This window comes from Homo sapiens, chromosome 1 (genome assembly GCF_000001405.40).
Source record: "Homo sapiens chromosome 1, GRCh38.p14 Primary Assembly".
Classification (NCBI taxonomy): domain Eukaryota; kingdom Metazoa; phylum Chordata; class Mammalia; order Primates; family Hominidae; genus Homo; species Homo sapiens.
This window is the reverse complement of record NC_000001.11, coordinates 162,475,334-162,497,342: the sequence shown is the minus strand read 5'-3', so window position 1 is coordinate 162,497,342 and position 22,009 is coordinate 162,475,334. Positions and strand designations below refer to the sequence as shown.

Sequence of the window (22,009 nt, the reverse complement as noted above, 5' to 3'; positions counted from 1 at the left end):
CTGGTTCAGTCCATGACGGGAAGTGGGGGTCCGACTAGCCTCATACCTCTCCGGTTAAGGTCAACACAGACCTTCGGTCTGGTAAGAAACATTTACAATCTATTTTCTTGGAAGCCTGGTACCTGGAGGCTTCATCTGCATGACAAAACTTTGGTCTCCACAAGTTCTTATGACAACCCAGACATTCCTTTCTATTGATAACTCTTTCAACCAATTGCCAATTAGAAAAATTTTAAATCTACCTATAACCTGGAAGGACCCATTTCTCCCCCCACCAATTCCCGCTTCGAGTTTTCCCACCTTTCTGGGCCAAATCAATGTATTTCTTAAATATATTTGATTGAAGTCTCATGTCTCCCAAAATGTATAAAACCAAGCTGCACCCCAACCACCTTGGGTACATGTTCTCAGGATCTCCTGAGGGCTGTGTCACAGACCATGGTCACTCATAGTTGGCTCAGAATAAATCTCTTCAAATATTTTACAGAGTTTAACTCTTTTTATCAACATAGTCCACCTTGCCTATGGCTCCCTCATCAAAAAGCATTCACCCTGGGCAAACACGGATCTGTTCCAAATTTTTATTTTTCATTTATTTATTCAATTATTTTATTCATTCAGCAAACGTTTATTGAGTAACAAATGTAGCAAATAGGCATCTCAATCCACAAACTCGAGTGTGTAAGAAATGTAGCCTTCTTTACTTTTCAGTCATTCAACCTTTTCTATTTCAAGATCTATTCTGATTGTGTGGCAAAAACTTAGTATCAGACAATAGGCCCTATCTTCTTTTCTTCAGGTTTTGTGTAAGTTCCCAGCCAGATGAGATGGTTCATGTAGTGCTAAGTGGAAAGTTTGAGGAGAGGTTGAGGACTAAACTCTGACCTGTCTTCTCTCTTGCTCAATTTTTTTTTTTTTTTTTTTTTTTTTTGGTAAGACGGAGTTTCGCTCTTGTTGCCCAGGCTGGGGTGCAATGGCATGATCTCGGCATCTCCGCCCACCGCAACCTCCTCCTCCTGGGGTCCAGCGATTCTCCTGCCTCAGCCTCCCAAGTAGCTGGAATTACAGGAATTTGCCACCATGCCAGCTAATTTTGTATTTTTAGTAGAGATGAAGTTTCTCCATGTTGGTCAGGCTGGTCTCGAACTCCTGCCCTTGTGATCCGCCTGCCTCACCTTCCCAAAGTGCTGGGATTACAAGCGTGAGCCACTGCACCTGGCCCCAAATTCTTATCTAAGGGATGTGAGGAGTCACAGCCTACAAACCATAAAATCTCATCAGATTGTCAGAGGTGTTCAAACCAGAGCAACTCCATCTTGAATAGGAGCTGGGTAAAATAAGGCTCAGATCTACTGGGCTGCATTTCCAGGAAGTTAGGTATTCTAAGTCACAGGATGAGATAGGAGGTCAACACAAGATACAGGTCACAAAGACCTTGCTGATAAAACAGATTGCAGTAAAGAAGCCAGCCAAAACCCACCAAAACCAAAATGGTGGTGAAGGTGACCTCTGGTCGTCCTTACTACTCATTAGATGCTAATTATAATACATTAGCATGCTAAAGGAAACTCTTACCAGCACCATTACAATTTACAAATGGTATGGCAACGTCCTGGAAGTTACCCTACATGGTCTAAAAAGAGGAGGAACCCTCAGTTCCAGGAATTGCCCACTCCTTTCCTGGAAAACTCATGAATAATCCACCCCTTGTTTAGCATATAATCAAGAAATAACTATAAATATGAATAACTATAAGTCGAGCAGCCTAAGCTGTTGCTCTGCCTATGGAGTAGCCATTCTTTTATCCCTTTTACTTCCTAATAAACTTGCTTTATGGACTCATTCTGAATTCTTTCTTGCGTGAGGTCCAAGAACCCTCTCCTGGGGTCTGGATTGAGACCACTTTCCAGTAACAAGATAGGTTGGTTGGTTGGTTTGTTTGTTTGAGACAAAGTCTCACTCTATCACCCAGGCTGGAGTGCAGTGGCGTGATCTCAGCTCACTGCAACCTCTGCCTCCTGGGTTCAAGGAATTCTCCCACCTCAGCCTCCCGAGTAGCTGGGATTATAGGCATGCGCCACCATGCCCGGTTAAATTTTGTATTTTTAGTAGAGACGGGGTTTTGCCATGTTGGTCAGGCTGGCCTCGAACTCCTGACCTCAGGTAATCCTCCTACCTTGGCCTCCCAAAGTGTTAGGATTACAGGCATGAGCCACTGCACCCGGCCACAAGATGGGTTTTGTTTAACCCCATATAACGTGACTTACTTTCCAACCTAACTCTGGCATAACATCACATGACAGATAAAGAAGGAAATACAAATATTTTAACCCCAAATATATTTCCTTTTTTTTTTTTGAGACGGAATTTCGCTCTTGTTGCCTAGGCTGGAGTGCAATGGCACGATCTTGACTCACCGCAACCTCCGCCTCTTGGGTTCAAGCGATTCTCCTGCCTCAGCCTCCCGAGTAGCTGGGATTACAGGCATCCACCACCACGCCCCGCTAATTTTGTATTTTCACCATGTTGGCCAGGATGGTCTCTATCTCTTGACCTTGTGATCTGCCTGCCTCAGCCTCCCAAAGTGCTGGGATTACAGGCGTGAGCCACCATGCCCGGCCTCTTTTTTTTTTGAGACAGAGTTTTGCTTTTTTTTTGAGATGGAATTTCACCCAGGCTGGAGTGCAATGGTGCGATCTTGGCTCACTGCAACCTCTCCCTCCCGAGTTCAAACAATTCTCCTGCCTCAGCCTCCCAAGTAGCTGGGATTATTCGTGCCTGCCACCACACCCAGCTAATTTTTTATTTTTAGTAGAGTTGAGGTTTCACCACGTTGGCCAGGCTGATCTCGAACTCCTGAGCTCAGGTAATCCACCCATCTTGGCCTCCCGAAGTGCTGGGATAACAGGCATGAGCCACTGTGCCTAGCCCCCAAATATGTTGCTTTGCTATATTTTGAAATGGCCCTGCAAAGCCTGTCTTTTGTGGGGGAAATTTGCATCTGTAAATAATCTGTGTTAACATAACTATGGCTTTTCCCCCTTCCAGGCCCTCCCAACCCTGAAGATATTAAATGAGAGTCTAGCACCTTCTAAAGGTCCAAATAAGAAACATTTTTCATCTATTGTCTCTAAGGATGACCATCTATGAGACTTCATCTACATAATGAGATTCTTGGTCTCTACAACCCCTTATCTTTTTTATTTCTTATTAATTTTAATTTTTATTTAAGTTCCGGGGTACACGTGCAGGATGTGCAGGCTTATTACATAGGTAGGTAAATGTGTGCCATGGTAGTTTGCTGCACCTACCAACCCATCAGCTAGGTATTAAGCCCAGCATACCTTAGCTATTTTTCTCAATGCTCTCCCTCCTCCCATCCCATCCCCAACAGGCCCCAGTGTGTGTTGTTACCCTCCCTGTATCTATGTATTCTCACTATACAACTCCTTATCTTATCCAAGATACTCCTTTCTATTGATTACAGGACAATAACTCTTTCAAACGACTGCAATCAGAAAATCTTTGAATCCACCCATGACCTGAAAGCCATCACCCCTGCTTTGTTGCACCTTTCTAGACCAATCCAGTGTGTACCCACGTATATTGATTGATGTCTTATGTTTCCCTAAAACATATAAAACCAAGATGTAATCCAAACATATTGGGAGCTTGTTCTCAGGACTTCTTGAGACTATGCCTTGGGCCATGGCCACTCATATTTGGCTCAGAATAAATCTTCTCAAATATTTTACAGAGTTTGGCTTTTTTCATTGACACATCTGCTTTTCAGTATCATTTTTCATCATCTTGTCTGGTTGTCACTGAGATGTGTGCACTCTCCTGCTCTTTTTCTTCTTCTTTTTTTAGAGACAGAGTCTCACTTGTTGCCCAGGCTGGAATGCAGTGGCATAATTATAGCTCACTGCATCCCCCAATTCCTGGGTTCAAGTGACGTTCCTGCCTCAACCTCCCATGTAGCTGGGACTACAGGCACACACCATCTTGCACAACTATTTTTTTTTTTCATTTTAAAAATCCATTTATTTATTTATTTAGAAACAAGGTCTCCACTTTCTTGCCCAAGCTGGTTTTGAACTCCTGGCTTCAAGGGCTCCTTCCTCCTTAGCCTCCCAAAGTGATGGGATTATAGGCATGAGCCACCATGCCCAGCCCCTCTCCTACTATATCTAAAAAGCATTTTCTCTAAGTCTGCAGTCCACACAAATCTCTTGAGGGCTTTGGGCTTTTGGAATACAAAACTGAAGCAAAGACTCACAGGTTTTTGTGATGTTGCAGCCACATGGCTCCTCTAAGGCAATAAGTACAGCCATCTGTGTTTGTATAAAGGGAGAGCAAAGTGGGAAGTTGAGAAGTAGGGAGGGAAGTGGAGAACAAAATGACATTAGATCCTAAATAGAGGGAAGAGATGAAATAGAAATGAACTCTGATTTTAAGGACTTTGGAGTTGGTAGAATGACTTAGACATGTGTAATATGATCAAACAATATAGGTAAAAATGCTCTAAAGGAATGCCAAGTAAAGTACTAGGGATCCTCAGAGGGTCTTGTTGAAATAAAGTGTATTGTAATCAGAGAGTTTAAGCGCTAAACTTTTAGAAGTTGACTAGGTCCTCCTTGTGAAAAATATCCATTGTTATACGCCATATCTTGGTTAGTTATAAGCCCTTTTCCTGAACACTACAAATAAAAGTTATCCATCTGAAAATATTTCCCAGTAAAGTTTTCTTTCTTTCTGCTTTTCCAGTCTCTTCTGTTATACTTCAGTGTCTTCTCATTGCTTCACTTGTTAACCTAAAAGATGAGGATACTAAATTATAGAATTGAGCCATATTCAAAAGTCATACCAAGAATATTCTGAAACAGATGTGCCTTGGAATATCATTAACAGAAGGGGTGGCCTGTATTTTAATTGTTGAGCTCTTAAAGATAGATCCATATCCTTCAAGCATGAAAGTGATTACACCCTGTGGTAGCCAGTCTCCAAAATAGCCCCCAATGATCCTTGTGTCCTAGTATTCACTCCTTCCTGTAACACCCTTTCATGTTGAGCAGGGTGATCTGTATAACCAAGGGGAATTTATGGAAATGATGGTGTGAGACTTCCTAGGTCATAAAAGACATTTCAGCTTCCACCTTGCTGTATCTTTGATCACTTACCTTGGGGGAGCTACCTGTCTTGTCATGAAGACTCTCACGCAGCCCAATGGAGATGTCTACATTTTGAGAAACTGAGGTCTCCTGTCAACAGCCATGTTAGTGAGCCACCTTGGAAGTGGATCTTTCAATCCTAGTCAAGCTTTCAGCATGATTGCAGCTCTGCTGAAGTCTTGATTGCCAACTCATGAGAGACCCCCTAGCTAGAACCATCCCGGCTAAGCCACTTCTGAATTCAGTCCTACAGAGATTATGTGTGATAATAAATATTTATTGTTGTTTTAAGTTTTAGAGTACTTGTTATGTAGCAATAAGTAGCTGTACACTAGAAAGGAATAAATAATGTCCCCCAAATTTAACACTTTTTCAAACCAATTGTATACATTTGTGTTCTAATCAGCAGTCAAAAGTTGACTTAGCACATCCATACCAATATAAAGCATTATTATTTAAACTTTTTTCTTTTTAATTTTAAAAGCCAAAATGACATTTTGATATAGTTTTTAATTTTTGTTGTTATTAGTAGGGTGTACTTTTTTCATACTTTTGGTGACTTTTCATTACTTTTCAAGAGTTTTTTTTAAAAATTCTTTTATTTTTATTTTCTCTTCTTTAAATTTTCTTGATCACCTGGTAGATTTTCTTTTTTCTCTTTAGTTCCCCTCACTCCTGTCCCAGCTAGCTCTTGCCTGAAAAGTAGGTGCTTAATGATACAGGTAGGTCTAAATAGTAAAAAGATTTATTCCGCAAGCCACTAATTAAAATCAGTCTGGTCTTGATCTATTTAGCCTAGAGAGATTGACGATTCTAGGGAGAGGATTGTGGGGCCCCAAATCCAGAAAACTGGAAAAGATCGGTAGCTTAAAACCATTCATTCATTTATTTATTCACTTATTCATTATTTCAATATATATTTATAAAGAACCACTAGCTTCCTGGGCAAGGAACTCATAGTCTAGTAGGGGAGACAGACAAGATTAAGGAAAAAAAAAAAAAAACACAGGACTTTGCTTAGAGAAAAAGAGAAAGTTCATCATTTGAGATTGGAGAGAGTTCTGAGAGGATGATGTGGGAATGTGCGATGTGATGAACTGAAAAATGCTGGATGACTTCAAACTTTCCCATTAAGGTGGCATGATAGCATCATTGGAAGAGGAGAGGGAGAGCATATGGGGATTGAAAGAGAGAATAACTCCAGTGGGAAATGTGTTGGAGAGAAGAGTTTAAATTGAACAGCATGTATCTACATGGAAGCTTGATTTGAGGTTGGCGCTTACTCAGTGTTAGCCAAGCAGTTCTGTACTTGATACACTATTGGGGAAGAGGCTGCAGGGAGTGGGGAATGTCTCAATGTCACTCTTGTCAGCTGGCTACAGGAACTTTTTTTCCTGGAATTTTGAGTGGGGAATGTCAAATTAGCATTTTATCAGTATCTCAAACTTGGTATATATATAACTATACTCCTGATCTTCCTCCCAACTTTCTTCCTCCACAGCCTTCCCCAGGTCAGTTCTTGGAAACTCTATTCTTCCAGATGCTCAAGGCAAAAACCCTGGAGTCATTCTTTTTTTTTTTTTTTTTTTTGGCAGAGTCTCACTCTGTCACCCAGGCTGGAGTGCTGGAGTGCAGTGGTGCAATCTCAGCTCACTGCAACCCCCACCTCCCCAGTTCAAGCAGTTCTCCTGTCTCAGCCTCCTGAGTAGCTGGGACTACAGGCGCTCACCACTATACCCAGATAATTTTTGTATTTTTAATAGAGACGGGGTTACACCATGTTGGCCAGGCTGGTCTCAAACTCCTGACCTCAGGTGATGCGCCTGCCTCGGCCTCGCAAAGTGCTGGGATTACAGGCGTAAGCCACCACCCCCAGCCCCCAGGGTCATTCTTGATTCTTCTCTTTCCTCCATTTACAACATATACTCAGTCTCTAACAACTTTTTTTTTACCACCTTCCCAGCTACTAGTCTGTTCCAAGCCTCCATCACCTCCTGCCTCAATGATTGAAATAACCTCCTAGCCAGTCTCCTTGCTTCCACTCCTGCCCTCCTACAGTCTATTCTCAACACTGTAGCCAGAGTGATCCAGTGAGAGCAGAAGTCGGGCTAAGTCATGGCTTCATGGCTTTGCTCCAAACCCTCCATCTCTCCCAGAGTTGAAGTCAAAATCCATAAAATGGGTGATGAAGCTGTCCATGATTTAGACCCCTCTACCACTCCAGCCTCATGTCCTCCCATTATCCCCCATGTCCACTCTGGTCCCAACACACCAGCTTCCTGTTCTTCAAACACATCAGGCAGCTGCCTTCCTCAAGAAGGAAATTTGCTGTTTCCTCTGCCTGGCATAGTCTTTCCACAGATATCTACATGACTCACTTTTCATTTCTTTTTTTTTTTTTTTCTTTTTGAGACAGAGTCTCGCTCTGTCGCCCAGGCTGGAGTGCCACGATGTGATCTTGGCTCACTGCAACCTCCGCCTCCCAAAGTCAAGAGATTCTCCCTGCCTCAGCCTCCATAGTAGCTGGGATTACAGGTGCCCGCCACCACGCCCAGCTAATTTTTGTATTTTTAATAAGAGACAAGGTTTCACCATGTTGGCCAGGCTGGTCTTGAACTGCTGATCTCAGGTGATCTGCCCGCCTTGGCCTCCCAAAGTGCTAGGATTACAGGCATGAGCCACCACACCCAGACAACTTTTCATTTCTTTCAAGTGTTTGCCCAAATGTCCTTAATTGATGAAGTTCTCTTGATCACATTTATATAAATTAGCCATTCCTTACTTCCCTGGTATCCTCTGCACCCCTTACTTTGCTTTCATTTCACTCTGTATCACCTTGGACATAGTATATAATTCATTTTTTAAATTAGATTCCCCTGTCTAAAATAAGGACGAGTTTGATTTTGATTTGTTCACCGCTGTATTTCCAGTGCCTGGAATAGTGTCTGGAACATTATTAAGCTCTTAACAAATGTTTGTTAAATGGTTGTCTATTTTTCAGGCAGCAACAGGAGGCTAGTGGATGGAGAGGGGATGACAACCAGTAGGAGAAAATGGAAAAACCAGAAGATGGACTTTAACAAAGGGCATTATGTCTTAAGGAGGAAAGACAATTAGAAATAGAACTGAGGGGCCGGGCGCAGTGGCTCATGCCTGTAATCCCAGCACTTTGGGAGGCCGAAGTGGGCGGATCACGAGGTCAGGAGATTGAGACCACCCTGGCCAACATGGTGAAACCCCGTCTCCACTAAAAATACAAAAATTAACTGGGCGTGGTGGCATGGGCCTGTAGTCCCAGCTATTTGGCAGGCTGAGGCAGGAGAATCACTTGAACCCAGGAGGCGGAGGTTGCAGTAGTGGAGATCGCACCATTGCACTCCAGCCTGGGTGACAGAGCGAGACTCCATCTCAGAAAAAAAAAAACAGAAATAGAACTGAGGAAGGTAGAGAACAGAGAAACTGATGTGAGTGAAACACACCTGCCTTACAAGATTAAAGGTGTTTGGCCCATTGCTGGGGCCACATGAGAACAAATTAAGAGTCCCAAAAGGGTTTAATGTGTTCATGAGTCAAGGTCAAGATTTGGGGCTTTATTTATTTCATCTCCTGCCACTACCCTCTGACTGAGATGAGAGTTTCCCAAACAAGTGAGACATATGAGACAGACAATGTAGCCGGAGGGTTAGGTGGCAGTGATTGGCAATCTCCACCTGGAGTCTCAGCTCCAAGATAAGCCCTAAGGTTCCCTCTGGAACATCAGTCTGTACTTTTCTATATTTAGAGGAAGTCTCAAGTGTAGGACGATTGCTGCAGTCTGGAGTCTTCACTGGTACAGCAAGATGATGGATTGTTTTTCAGTACTTGTTTCCTCCTATGTAATGATTATTTTTTTCTTTGTAGCTTCACATTACTGGTTTGCTGCGTTGCTGTTCCCCAGACCAAGCAGAAGCATCTGTAACGTCTGAAGGAAGAACCCAGGCCCGCAGCTCACCCACTACAGAACCTAGGGACCTTATCCTTCTTCCAGGTAGGGAAGTCTTCAGCTGTTTTTTTCTAATTATCAATCCTGGACCAAGATTGTTTCATGTAGAATTGAAGGGTACTAAAGGATGAAAGACAGGAAGGATGAGGGAGAGGCAAACGTGGTGGGGGAAGAAGAGGCAAAAGAAAAGGGCACTAGGCAGAGCAGGGCATTTCTTTCTTTCTTTCTTTCTTTCTTTCTTTCTTTCTTTCTTTCTTTCTTTCTTTCTCTCTCTCCTTTTTTCTTTCTTTCTTTCTCTTTTTTTTTTTTTTGAGTTGGAGTCTTGCACTGTTGCCTGGGTTGGAGTGCAGTGGCACGATCTTGGCTCACTGCAACCCCCACCTCCCTGGTTCAAGCGATTCTCCTGCCTCAGCCTCCTGAGTAGCTGGGATTACAGGTGGGTGCTGCCATGCCCGGCTAATTTTTGGCATTTTTAGTAGAGATGGGGTTTCACTATGTTGGCCAGGCTGCATTTTTAGTAGAGATAGGGTTTCACTATGTTGGCCAGGCTGCTCTCGAACTCCTGACTTCGTGATATGCCCACCTCAGCTTCCCAAAGTGCTGGGATTACAGGCATGAGCCTCCATGCCCGGCCAGGGAATTTATTTCAACATCTTCTGTTCCTCCCTTTCTCTCCCAGCACCAACCTCCCTTTCTCTCCCAGCACCAACTAATGCTGAGAAAAGCCACTTTCACTGATGGTGACATTTGAGTCATTTGGACTTCACAACCTCTTTACTTTGATCTCCATCTTCTGGCGAGAGTGGTAATAAACAGTGAAAAGATGGTCTACAATAAACATACGTGTGCACTATTCACAATAGCAAAGACTTGGAACCAACCCAAATGTCCACCAGTGATAGACTGGATTAAGAAAATGTGGCGGCCGGGCGCGGTGGCTCACGCCTGTAATCCCAGCACTTTGGGAGGCCGAGGCGGGCGGATCACGAGGTCAGGAGATCGAGACCATCCCGGCTAAAACGGTGAAACCCCGTCTCTACTAAAAATACAAAAAATTAGCCGGGCGTAGTGGCAGGTGCCTGTAGTCCCAGCTACTTGGGAGGCTGAGGCAGGAGAATGGCGTGAACCCGGGAGGCGGAGCTTGCAGTGAGCCGAGATCCCGCCACTGCACTCCAGCCTGGGCGACAGAGCGAGACTCCGTCTCAAAAAAAAAAAAAAAAAAAGAAAATGTGGCACATATACACCATGGAATACTATGCAGCCATAAAAGAGGATGAGTTCATGTCCTTTGTAGGGACATGGATGAAGCTGGAAACCATCATTCTCAGCAAATTATCGCGAGGACAAAAAACCAAACACCACATGTTCTCACTCATAGGTGGGAATGGAACAATGAGAACACTTGGACACAGGAAGGGGAACAGCACACACTGGGGCCTGTCGTGGGGTGGGGGAAGGGGGGAGGGATAGCATTAGGAGATATACCTAATGCAAATGAAGAGTTAATGGGTGCAGCACACCAATATGGCACATGTATACATATGTAAGAAACCTGCACATTGTGTACACGTACCCTAGAACTTAAAGTATATATATATAAAAAAAAGATGGTTAGCAAAACCAAGGAAAATTTAAGGACCTTGATAATCCAGAAACTGTATGATTATAGATAATCGAGAATTGTCTCTATATTCAAAAACACTGTTTTTACTCCTGATCCTGAAATAATGGAAATCACAAACAAGATATATAAACTCAGATTGTTTTACACCATCACTTGTCACTATTTTACATGGTGTCACAAACTAACTGCATTCATTATTAATTTGCATTAAGAGCTGCATTAGTCTTTCAAATGCCAACAGCTTTTCCTCTGAACATTTTCTTTTCTGCTTATGAATTACTGTTCTGGTTTTTACAGTCTGGGCAGGTTTCCATTAAATCCTTTTTGTTTCATGGGTTCTTGTGTGATGTAATACTAAGTCATTTGCTAAATTACTATGTTCTATTATAATATGGTATTGTATATTTTAATATATCTTTTTATAGATTTTTATATTGTATTTATTCCTTTGAAGAGGAATAGACAGAGAGAGATGTATTGTTTTATTTTTTTTTTTTTTCATTGTGCTGGAGCTGTGTTATAATATAGACAGTACTGGTAGGAGTTAGGCAAAAAAAAAAAAAAAAATTGGTGTGCCATAGAAAAGGATAGATTAGTATTCTGCCTATCGCACATCCCAATCCTCATGAGGAATAGCAACACAATTTTTAAAAATCCTTTAATGTTATATGGCTGAGCAAAGGCAAGGAAAACCTCTTCTTTCCCCTCCCCGCCAAAACCTTGCTCTTCTCTTAATAAAGCTTTCAGCCATCTCTCCAAGTGGCAGCAGGACAATTCCAAAGCCTGACCTTCAGTTCTTAGCAGAGGATGTTAACAGACCTACCCTCAGTTTCCTGGCCCACCAGGACCCCAGCAAACTTTCTGTTGCCTACCAGGCTGGACTGTAGCCACACTCTAACAAGATCTGAGTCTTGACCTTATGGGATGAGTATCTTCTTCCAAACTCTTAGTTTCCTCCTTAGATATCTTCTCCCTTAACCCTATGGATGGTAGCTGTTTCCTGTATTTGCCATTCCTGTATTTTGTGAAATCCCCTTTTATACCTTTTAGTTAACCATCTTTCACTTCTTAATAATTCCATTTTTGAAAGTTTTTCCTGCTCCAATTACTGTTGTGGTTTTTGACTCATAACTAGACTCTCCCTAACATTTCTCAATCTCCTTACCCTGGAGGAATGCTTATAATAATCTTCAAGTCTCAAGGAAACCCTACATAAAAATTATTAAATCTATGGCTTACATTATCAGTAAATTGTAGATGATGGTCAATGTTGTTTAGTAGACAATGTTAGTTTTCTATAGATCTGCTTATTTTGTCTGACTTATTAGTATACCTTTTGCGTGGTTCTCCCTCCTTACAAAGGATAACTCTTATCTAAGTCATTAGTATAAATAGAGAAAACTTTAGTTTTTCCTTTGTTGAAATGTGCTTGATTTTTTACCTTATCCAAGTGGGCCTAAAAGTCTTATAATAAATTTCTACTATGTAAGATATTAATGGGGTATATTATAACATATTTGATGGGCAAAAGTAGTTCTTCACCCTATCTAAAACTAATAATTACTTTATAGCCAACCTTTCTGGGAAAAAAATCGGTAGTTAAGCTTAACTTACCTTTTTAAAAATTAATCTCTTTCTTTTCATGAATTTTTAAAATTTAGAAGGCAGGCTGGGCATGGTGGCTCACACCTTTAATCCCAGCACTTTGGGAGGCAGAAGCGGGCAGATCACCTGAGATCAGGAGTTCAAGACCAGCCAGACCAACATGGTGAAACCCCATCTCTACTCAAAATACAAAAATTAGCAGGGTGAAGTGGCGGGCACTTGTAATCCCATCTACTCGGGAGGCTGAGACAGGAGAATCACTTGAACCTGGGAGGCAGAGGCTGCAGTGAGCCAAGATCACGCCATTGCACTCCAGCCTGGGTGACAGAGCAAGACTCTGTCTCAAAATAAAATAAAATAAATAAATAAATAAAATAAAATAAAATTCAGAAGGCAGATGACAAATTTCTGTTAAATAACTGACAAGCCAAAATGGTGTTTGATTTTTTTCTAAAGGTAGGCTTGGTTGATTTAACTTAAACAAAGACTGCACATTTATTTTGATTAATATTATTCACAACATAAAATTTTATTAACATTTATTGAATAGGTAAGCTATGAAAATCATAAACAAAACCAATATGAATAAAAATCTAGTATAAGATACAATTTTGTACAAGACTTAAAAGAGAACATTTTCTTACTGAGTGACATGATCAAGCTTAAATGTAAGCGTGGCAGTGACAAAATCATTATATACAGGTATTGATTTCTTGCATAAAAGTGTTATTTATTCATTTATTTAATAATAGCAATAGGGTCTTGCTATGTTGCCCAGGCTGGTCTCAAACTCCTGGCCTCAAGCAATCCTCTTGCCTCACCCTCCCAAAAATGTTGGGATTACAGGCGTGAGCCACTATGCCCAGCCAAAATTGTTATTTTTGAGGCTAAAAATGAAAAAGAAAATTTTCTTCTTTAATGTGAAACTTGGGCTTGTTTTTTATTGCACAAATAATTCTGAGTTGAAGTTTAATTCTGAATATTGAATTCTGAGTTTAAGATAAGCATACATGGATTTCATTTTCCAGTAAAATGAGACAATTTCTGTCTTTACTCTTCATACTTTCTATACTATAAAAAATTCTCACGGATTTAAGTAGTTAAAAACTGAAGCAAAGCCAGGTGTGGTGGCTCACTCCTGTAATCCCAGCACTTTGGGAGGCTGAGGCGGGTGGATCATTTGAGGTCAGGAGTTCGAGACCAGCCTGGCCAATATGGTGAAACCCCATCTCTACTAAAAATACAAAAATTAACTGGGCGTGGTGGCGGGCACCTGTAATCCCAGCTACTACGGAGGCTGAGGCAGGAGAATCGCTTGAACCCGGGAGGTGGAGGTTGCAGTGAGCCAAGATTGTGCCATTGCACTCCAACCCGGGCAACAGAGCAAGACTCTGTCTCAAAAAACAAAAAAACAAACAACAACCAAAAAAAACTGAAGCAAATTATTGTTTTCCTATGAATAGCAGGATATTTTCATTTTACCAAATTCCAGAACTTGTCTAGGAGCAGGTCAGTAAATCTCATCTTTTGTATATGAACAGATTATACCTTACAGAGCTCTTTCTTGTCTCTCAAAGCCAAGAGTAGACGCATTAGAAAAAAAGATCCCTGGCGGGCGCAGTGGCTCACGCCTGTAATCCCAGCACTTTGGGAGGCCGAGGAGGTGGATCACGAGGTCAGGAGATCAAGATCATCCTGGCTAACACGGTGAAACTCCGTCTCTACCAAAAATATAAAAATTAGCAGGGCGTGGTGGTGGGCGCCTGTAGTCCAGCTACTCGGGAGGCTGAGGCAGGAAAATGGTGTGAACCCAGGAGGCGGAGCTCGCAGTGAGCCGAGATCGCGCCACTGCACTCCAGCCTGGGAGACAGAGCGAGACTCCGTTTCAAAAAAAAAAAAAAAAAAAAAAAAAAAAAAAAAAAAAAAAATCCCTTACCAAGTCACACACTTGGATTGAAAGAAGACAAAACACTGTTCAATTTTGTTATGCATTTCTTTCTGATTTTTAAAAAGCTTTAAATTTTGGCCGGGAGCAATGGCTCACGGCTGTAATCCCGACAGTTTGGGAGGCAGAGGTGGGAGGATCACTTGAGAACAGGAGTTGGAGACCAGCCTGGCCAACTTAGTGAAACCCCACCTCTACTAAAAATTAAAAAAAGTTAGCCAGGTGTGGTGGTGGGCACCTGTAATCCCAGCAACTTGGCAGGCTGAGGCAGGAGAATTGCTTGAACCTGGGAGGTGGAGGTTGCAGTGAGCTGAGATCACGCCACTGCACTCCAGCGTGGGCGACAGAGCAAGATTCCGCCGCAAAAAAAAAAGAAAAAAAATGTTTTAAATTTTTAATTATTATGGGCACGTAATAGTTGTATATATTTATGGGGTACATATGATGATTTGCAACAAGCATATAATATGAAATGATCAAATCACAGTCATTGGGGTATCCATCACCTCAAGCATTTATCATTTCTTTGTGTTAGGAACATTCAAATTTCACTATTTTTGTTATTTTTTAACTTACAATAGATTATTGTTAACTATAGTCACCCTATTGTGCTCTGAATGCTAGATCTTATTTATCGTATCTAACTGTATCTTTGTACTTACTCTAACTGTATTTTTGCATCCCCTCCCTACTACCCTTCCTATCCTCTAGTAATCATCATTCTACTCTGTCTCCAAGAGTTCATTTAAAATAATTTTTAACTCCCACTTAGGAGAGAGAACATGTGAAATTTGTCTTTCTGTGCCTGACTTATTTCACATAACATGATGCCCTACAGGTTCATCCATGTTGTTGCAAATGATTGGATCTCTTTCTGTTGAATGGCCAAATAATATTTTATTATGCACATGTACCATATTTCTTTATGCATTCATCCACTGATGGGCACTTCGGCTGATTCTGTATCTTGACTATTGTGAATAGTGCTGCAATGAACATGGGAGTGCAGGTATTCCTTCCATATACTGATTTCCTTTCTTTCAGGTATATACCTAGCAGTGGGATAGCTGGTATGGTACCTCTGTTTTTTGTTTTTAGAGGAATCTTCATACCGTTCTCCACAGTGGTTGTACTAATTTACATTTCCACCAACAGTGTAGAAGGGTTCCTCTTTCTCCACATGCTCACCAGCATTCATTATTGCCTATCTTTTGGATAAAAGCTATTTTAACTGGGCGGAGTGAGATGATATCTTATTGTAATTTTTATTTACATTTTTCTGTGATTAGTGATGTTGAGCATTTTCTTTTTATACCTGTTGATCATTTACATGTCTTCTTTTGAGAAACATCTATTCAGATCTTTTGCCTACTTTTTAATGGATTATTTGTTTTTTTTTTTTTCGTAATGAGTTGTTTGAGCTCCTTATATATTCTGGTTATTAATCCCTTTTCAGATGGGTAGTTTGCAAACATTTTCTCCCATTCTGTGGGTTGTCTCTTTATTGTGTTGATTGTTTCCATTGCTGTGCAAAAGCTTCTTAGCTTCATCTGTCCATTTTTGCTTCAGTTGCCTATGCTTTTGAGGTATTACTCAAGAAATCTTTGTCCAGATCAATGTCCCAGAGTGTTTAGCCAACATTTTCTCTTAGTAGTTTTATAGTTTCAGGCCTTAGATTTAAGTCTTTAATCTTTTTCATTGTTGTTGTTGTTGAGATGGAGTCTTGGAGTCCCACTCAGTCACCCAGGCTAGAGTGCAGTAGTATGATCTTGGCTCACTGCAACCTCCGCCCCCCAGGGTTCAAGTGATTCTCACGTTTCAACCTCCTGAGTAGCTGAGATTACAGGTGCACGCCACCATGCCCGGCTAATTTTTAGTAGAGACAGGGTTTTGCCATGTTGGCCAGGCTGGTCTCAAACTCCTGACTTCAAGTGATCCACCCACCTCGGCCTCCCAAAGTGCTAGGATTATAGGCGTGAGCCATCATGCCTGGCCTTTAATCCATTTTGATTTCAATTTTGTATATGGCAAAAGATAGGGGTCTAGTTTCATTCTTTTGTATATGGATATCCAGTTTTCTCAGCACAATTTATTGACGAGACTGTTCTTTCCCCAATGTATGTTCTTGGCACCTTTGTCAAAAATGAGTTTACTGTAAATGTGTGGATTTATTTATGGGTTCTCTATTCTGTTGTATTGGTCTATGTGTCCATATTTATGCTAGTACCATGCTGTTTGGGTTACTATAGTTCTGTAGTATAATTTGAAGTCAGGTAATACGACTTTTTTTTTTTTTTTTAGGTTTTTCTAGTTTTTTGATGTAGGCATTTATTGCTATAAAATTTTCTTAGTACTGTTTTGCTGTATCCTATAGGTTTTGGTATATTGTGTTTCCATGTTTCATTTGTTTCAATACATTTTTTAATATCTCTCCTAATTTGTCATTGGCTCAGTGATCCTTTAGGAGCATATTGTTTAATTTCCATATGTTTGTATAGTTTCTGAAGTTCTTCTTGTTCTTGATTTCTAGTTTTATTTCATTGTGGTTAGAGAAGATACTTGATATGATTTCAATTTAAAAAAAAATTTTAAGACTTGTCTCATGGTCTAACATATGGTCTATCCTTGAGAGTGATTCATGTGCCAAGAAGAATGTGTATCCTCCGGCAGTTGGATGAAATGTTCTGTAAACGTCTTTTAGGTCCATGTTTTGGTGCAGATTAGGTCAGAAGTTTCTTTCTTTTTTTTTTTTTGAAACGGAGTCTTGCTCTGTTGTCCAGGCTGGAGTGCAGTGGCACAATCTAGGCCCACTGCAACCTCCTCCTCTTGGGTTCAAGTGAATCTCCTGCCTCAGCCTCCCGAGTAGCTGGGACTACAGGTGTGTGCCACCATGCCCGGCTAATTTTTTCTATTTTTAGTAGAGACAGGGTTTCACCATGTTAGCCAGGATGGTCTTGATCTCCTGACCTTGTGATCCGCCTGCCTCGGCCTCCTAAAGTGCTGAGATTACAGGTGTGAGCCACCAAGCCCGACCTCTTTTTTTTTTTTAAATTATATTTTAAGTTCTGGGATACATGTGCAGAACGTGCACGTTTGTTACATAGGTATACATGTGCCATGGTGGTTTGCTGCACCCATCAACCTGTCGTCTACATTAGGTATTTCTCCTAATGCTATCCCTCCCCTAGGTTGGATGTTTCTTTGTTGATTTTCTGTCTGGATGATGTGTCCAGTGCTGAAAGTGGGGGTTAAGGTCTTCAGCTATTATTGTATCAAGGCCTTTCTATTATTGTATCGAGGCCTTTCTTTCTTTTAGCACTAATAATATTCACTTTATATATCTCCAGTGTCGAGTGTATGTATACTTACAATCATATCCTCTTGCTGAATTTACCCCTTTATCCTTTTTTTTTTTTTGGACCGGAGTCTTGCTCTGTCACCCAGGCTAGAGCGCAGTGGTATGATCTCAGCTCACTGCAACCTCCGCCTTCCGGGTTCAAGCAATTCTCCCTGCCTCAGCCCCCTCAAGTAGCTGGGATTACAGGCGCCCACCATCACGGCCAGCTAATTTTTGTATTTTTAGTAGAGATGGGGTTTCACCATTTGGCCAGGCTGGTCTCGAACTGTTGACCTCGTGATCCACCCGCCTTAGCCTCCCAAAGTGCTGGGATTACAGGCATGAGCCACTGCGCCCGGCCAGTTTTTGTATTTTTTAGTAGAGACGGGGTTTCACCATGTTGGCAAAACTCCTGACCTCAGGTGATCCACCTGCCTCAGCCTCCCCAAGTGCTGAGATTACAGGTGTGAGCCACCATGCATGGCCCCTTTATCATTTTGTAATGACCTTCTTTGTCTCTCTTTACACTTTCATGTTTAAATATATTTTATCTGATGTAAATATAGCTACTTTTGCTCTTTTTTGGCTTTCGTTTGCATGGAATATCCTTTTCTACCCCTTCATTTTCAGTCTATGAATGTCTTTGTAGATGAAGTGAGTTTCTTATAAGCAGCATATACTTTGAGTCTTATTTTTTATTCATTTAAGCACTCTATGTCTTTTTTTTTTTTCTGTTTTTTGAAACAGTCTCACTCTGTCACTCAGGCTGAAGTGCAGTGGTACAATCACAGCTCACTGTAGCCTCAACCTCCCGGGCTCAAATGATCCTCCTACCTCAGCCTCTTGAATAGCTGGGACTGCAGGAACACACCACTATGCCAGGCTAATTTTTTCTTTCTTTCTTTCTTTTCTTTTTGATAGAGATAGAATTTTGTCATGTTGCCCAGGCTGGTCTTGAACTCCTGGGCTCAAGCAATCCACCTGCCTCGACATTCCAAGGTGTTAGGATTACAAGCGTGAGCCACCACACCTGGTCACTATGTGTCTTTTGATGGGAAAATTTAGGACATTCATATTCAGTGTTATTATTGATAGGTAAAGACTTACTATTGTCATTTTGTTTATTTGCTTTCTGGTTGTTTTGTTGGTCTTTCCTTCCTTCTTTCCCCTTCCCCTTCCCTTTCCTTCATTCCTGCCTTCCTGCCTTCCTTTGTGTAAAAGTAATTTTCCCTGGTAATATGTTTTAACTTCTTGCTTTTTATCTTTTAATGTATTTGTTACAGATTTTTGATTTGAGGTTACCATAAGGCTTCCAAATAATATCTTACAATCCATGATTTTAAACTAATGACAACTTAACTCTGATTACAAAAAAAGAGAAACCAGCAAAGAGAAAACTAAAACACTTTACACTTTAACACCACCACCCTCTTTTTGACTTTTTGTTGTCTCTGTAACATTTTATACTATCTGTCTCCTAAAAAGTTGTTGTTATTGTTTTTGATACGTGTCTCTTAGTCCTTTTACTCAAGATATGTGTGGTTTATGTAAGCAATTGTAGTGTTATACCACTCTGTTTTTGTCTGTGTACTTACTATAATAAATGAGTTTTATACCTTCATATGATTTCTTGTTGTTTATTAATGCCCTTTTCTTTCAGATTGAGAACTCCCTTTAGCATTTCTTGTAGGACTAGTCTCATGTTGATGAAATCCTTCAGTTTTTGTTTGACTGGGGAAGACTTTATTTCTCCTTCATGTTTGAAGGATATTTTTGCTGTTTATAATATTCCATAATGAAAAATTTTTCCTTCAGCCCTTTGAGCATGTCATTCCACTTTCTCCTGGCCTGTAAGATTTCCCCTGAGAAGACTGGTACCAGATGTATCAGAGCTCTTTTATATGTTTGTTTATTTTATCTTACTGCTTTTAGAATTCTTTTTTTTTTTTGTGACAGAGTCTCGCTTCATCACCCAGGCTGGAGTGCAGGGGTGCGATCTCGGCTCACTGCAAGCTCCACCTCCCGGGTTCATGCCATTCTCCTGCCTCAGCCTCTCGAGTAGCTGGGACTACAGGCGCCCGCCACCGCGCCCAGCTAATTTTCTGTATTTTTGGTAGAGATGAGGTTTCACCATGGTGAGACCTCGTGATCCGCCTGCCTCGGCCTCCCAAAGTGTTGGGATTACAGGCGTGAGAGAATCCTTTCTTATACTTGACTTTTGAGAGTTTGATTATTAAATACCTTGAGGCTGTCTTATTAGGGTTGAGTGTTCTTGGTGTTCCATGACCTTCTTGTACCTGAATATTGATATCTTTCTCTAGGTTTGAAAAGTTCTCCGTTGTTACTTTTTTTTTAATTTTTTTGAGGCAGGTCTTGCTCTGTCACCCAGGCTGGAGTGCAGTGGTGCGATTTTGGCTCACCATAACCTCTGCCTCTCAGGATCAAGTGATTCTCGTGCCTCTGCCTCTTGAGTGGCTGGGATGACAGACGTGCACCACCATGGCCCAGCTAATTTTTTGTATTTTTAGTAGAAATGGTGTTTCACCATGTTGGCCAGGCCGGTCTCGAACTCATGGCTTCAAATGATCCGCCTATCTTGGCCTCCCAAAGTTCTGGGATTACTGGCAGGAGCCACCATGCCCGGCCTGTTTTTACTTCTTTGAATAAACTTTATACCTCAATCATTATCTCTAACTTCTGTTTAAGGCCAAGAACTCTTAGGTTTGCCCTTTTGAGGTGATTTTCTAGGTTTTATATGCATGCTTCATTCTTTTCTATTCTTTTTTCTTTTTTCTCCTTTGACTGTGTATTTTCATATAACTTGTCTTCAAGCTCACTAATTCTCTCTTCTGCTTCATGAATTTTGCTGTTGAGAGACTCTGATGCATTTTTCAGTTTGTCAATTGAATTTTTCAGCTTCAGCACTTTTGCTTGATTTTTTAAAATTATTTTGATTTATTTGTTAAATTTATCTGATAGAATTCTGAATTCCTTCTCTGCTTTGTGTTATCATGACGTTCATTGAGCTTCCTCAAGACAGCTATTTTGAAGTCTTTGTCTGAAAGGTCACATATAGCCGGGTGCGTTGGTTCACACATGTAATCCCAGCACTTTGGGAGACTGAGGCAAGCAGATCACTTGAGATCAGGAGTTCAAGAACAGCCTAGGCAACATGGTGAAACCCCGTCTCTACCAAAAATACAAAAATTAGCCGGGCATGATGGCACATGCCTGTAACCCCAGCTACTCGGGAGGCTGCGGCAGGAGAATCACTTGAACCCAGGAGGCGGAGGTTGTAGTGAGCCGAGATTGCACCACTGCACTCCAGTCTGGGTGACAGAGCGACACTCTGTCTCAAAAAGAAAAGAAAAAAAAATTAAAAATAAGTAAATAAATAAATAAATAAAATGAAAGGTCACATATCTCCATCACTCTGGGATTAGTCAGTGGTATCTTATTTATTTCATTTGGCGAGGTCATATTTTCCTGGATGTTCCCGATGCTTGTGATGCTTATTAATATCTGGGCATTGAAGAGTTAGGTATTTATTCCAATCTTCACAGTCTGGGCTTATTTGTACCTGTCTTTCTTGAGAAGACTTTCCATCTATTGAAAGGGAGTTGAGTGTTGTCATGTGAGACTGTGATCGCTGCAGCCATTATCAGCATTAGGGGGTGCCCTCGAGCTCAGTAACATTGTGACTCTTGCAGACTCAGAGGAATCACCTTGGTTGGCCTCGGTAAGATCAAGGAGAATTCCCTAGATTACCAGGCAAAGTCTTTCACTCTCTTCCCTCACTTTCCGCTAATCAGAAGGAATCTCTCTCTGTGCTGAGCTGCCTGAAATTGAGGAAGGAATGATGCAGGCACTCCTGTGACCCCCACAGCTGCTACTGCTGTGTATCACACCTGAAGCCAGTACGGTACTGGGTCTTGCCCAAGGCCCATGGTAACTACTGCCTGGCTACCACTGATGTATATGCAAATTCCAAGGGCTTCTTAGTCAGCAGGTGATGAATCTTGTAAAGACTGGGTCCTTTCCTTCAGGTCAGCAGGTTCCCTTCTGGCCCAGGGTGTACCTAGTAATGTTGTCTGGGAGGTAGGGCCTGAAATGGTGGCTTCAGGAATCTGCTTGGTACTTTATTTTACTATGGCTGAGCTGGTACCAAAGTTGCAAGACAAAGTCCTCTGTACTCTGCCCCTACCTTTGCCCAAGCAGAAGTCTCTCCCTAAGCTGTACTGCCTGAGGTTGGGAGAGGGATAATACAGGCACTACCTTGGTCACCACTCCTGGTGTCTCACTGGGTCACACACACCAAATCTACTGCCTTCAAGCTCAGTGCAGC

The 22,009-nt window shown here is 41.5% G+C and overlaps 1 protein-coding gene across 1 annotated transcript in view; it reads right to left on the bottom strand.

Annotated features, from left to right (window-relative positions):
* UHMK1 (U2AF homology motif kinase 1) overlaps positions 1–169 on the bottom strand; it is a 32,458-nt gene extending 32,289 nt beyond the window's left edge. The window contains exon 1 of the mRNA NM_001184763.1: positions 47–169. Within this exon, the coding sequence (NP_001171692.1) occupies positions 47–92 (46 nt within the window). The 5' untranslated portion in view covers positions 93–169. The remainder of the gene's footprint in view (positions 1–46) is intronic.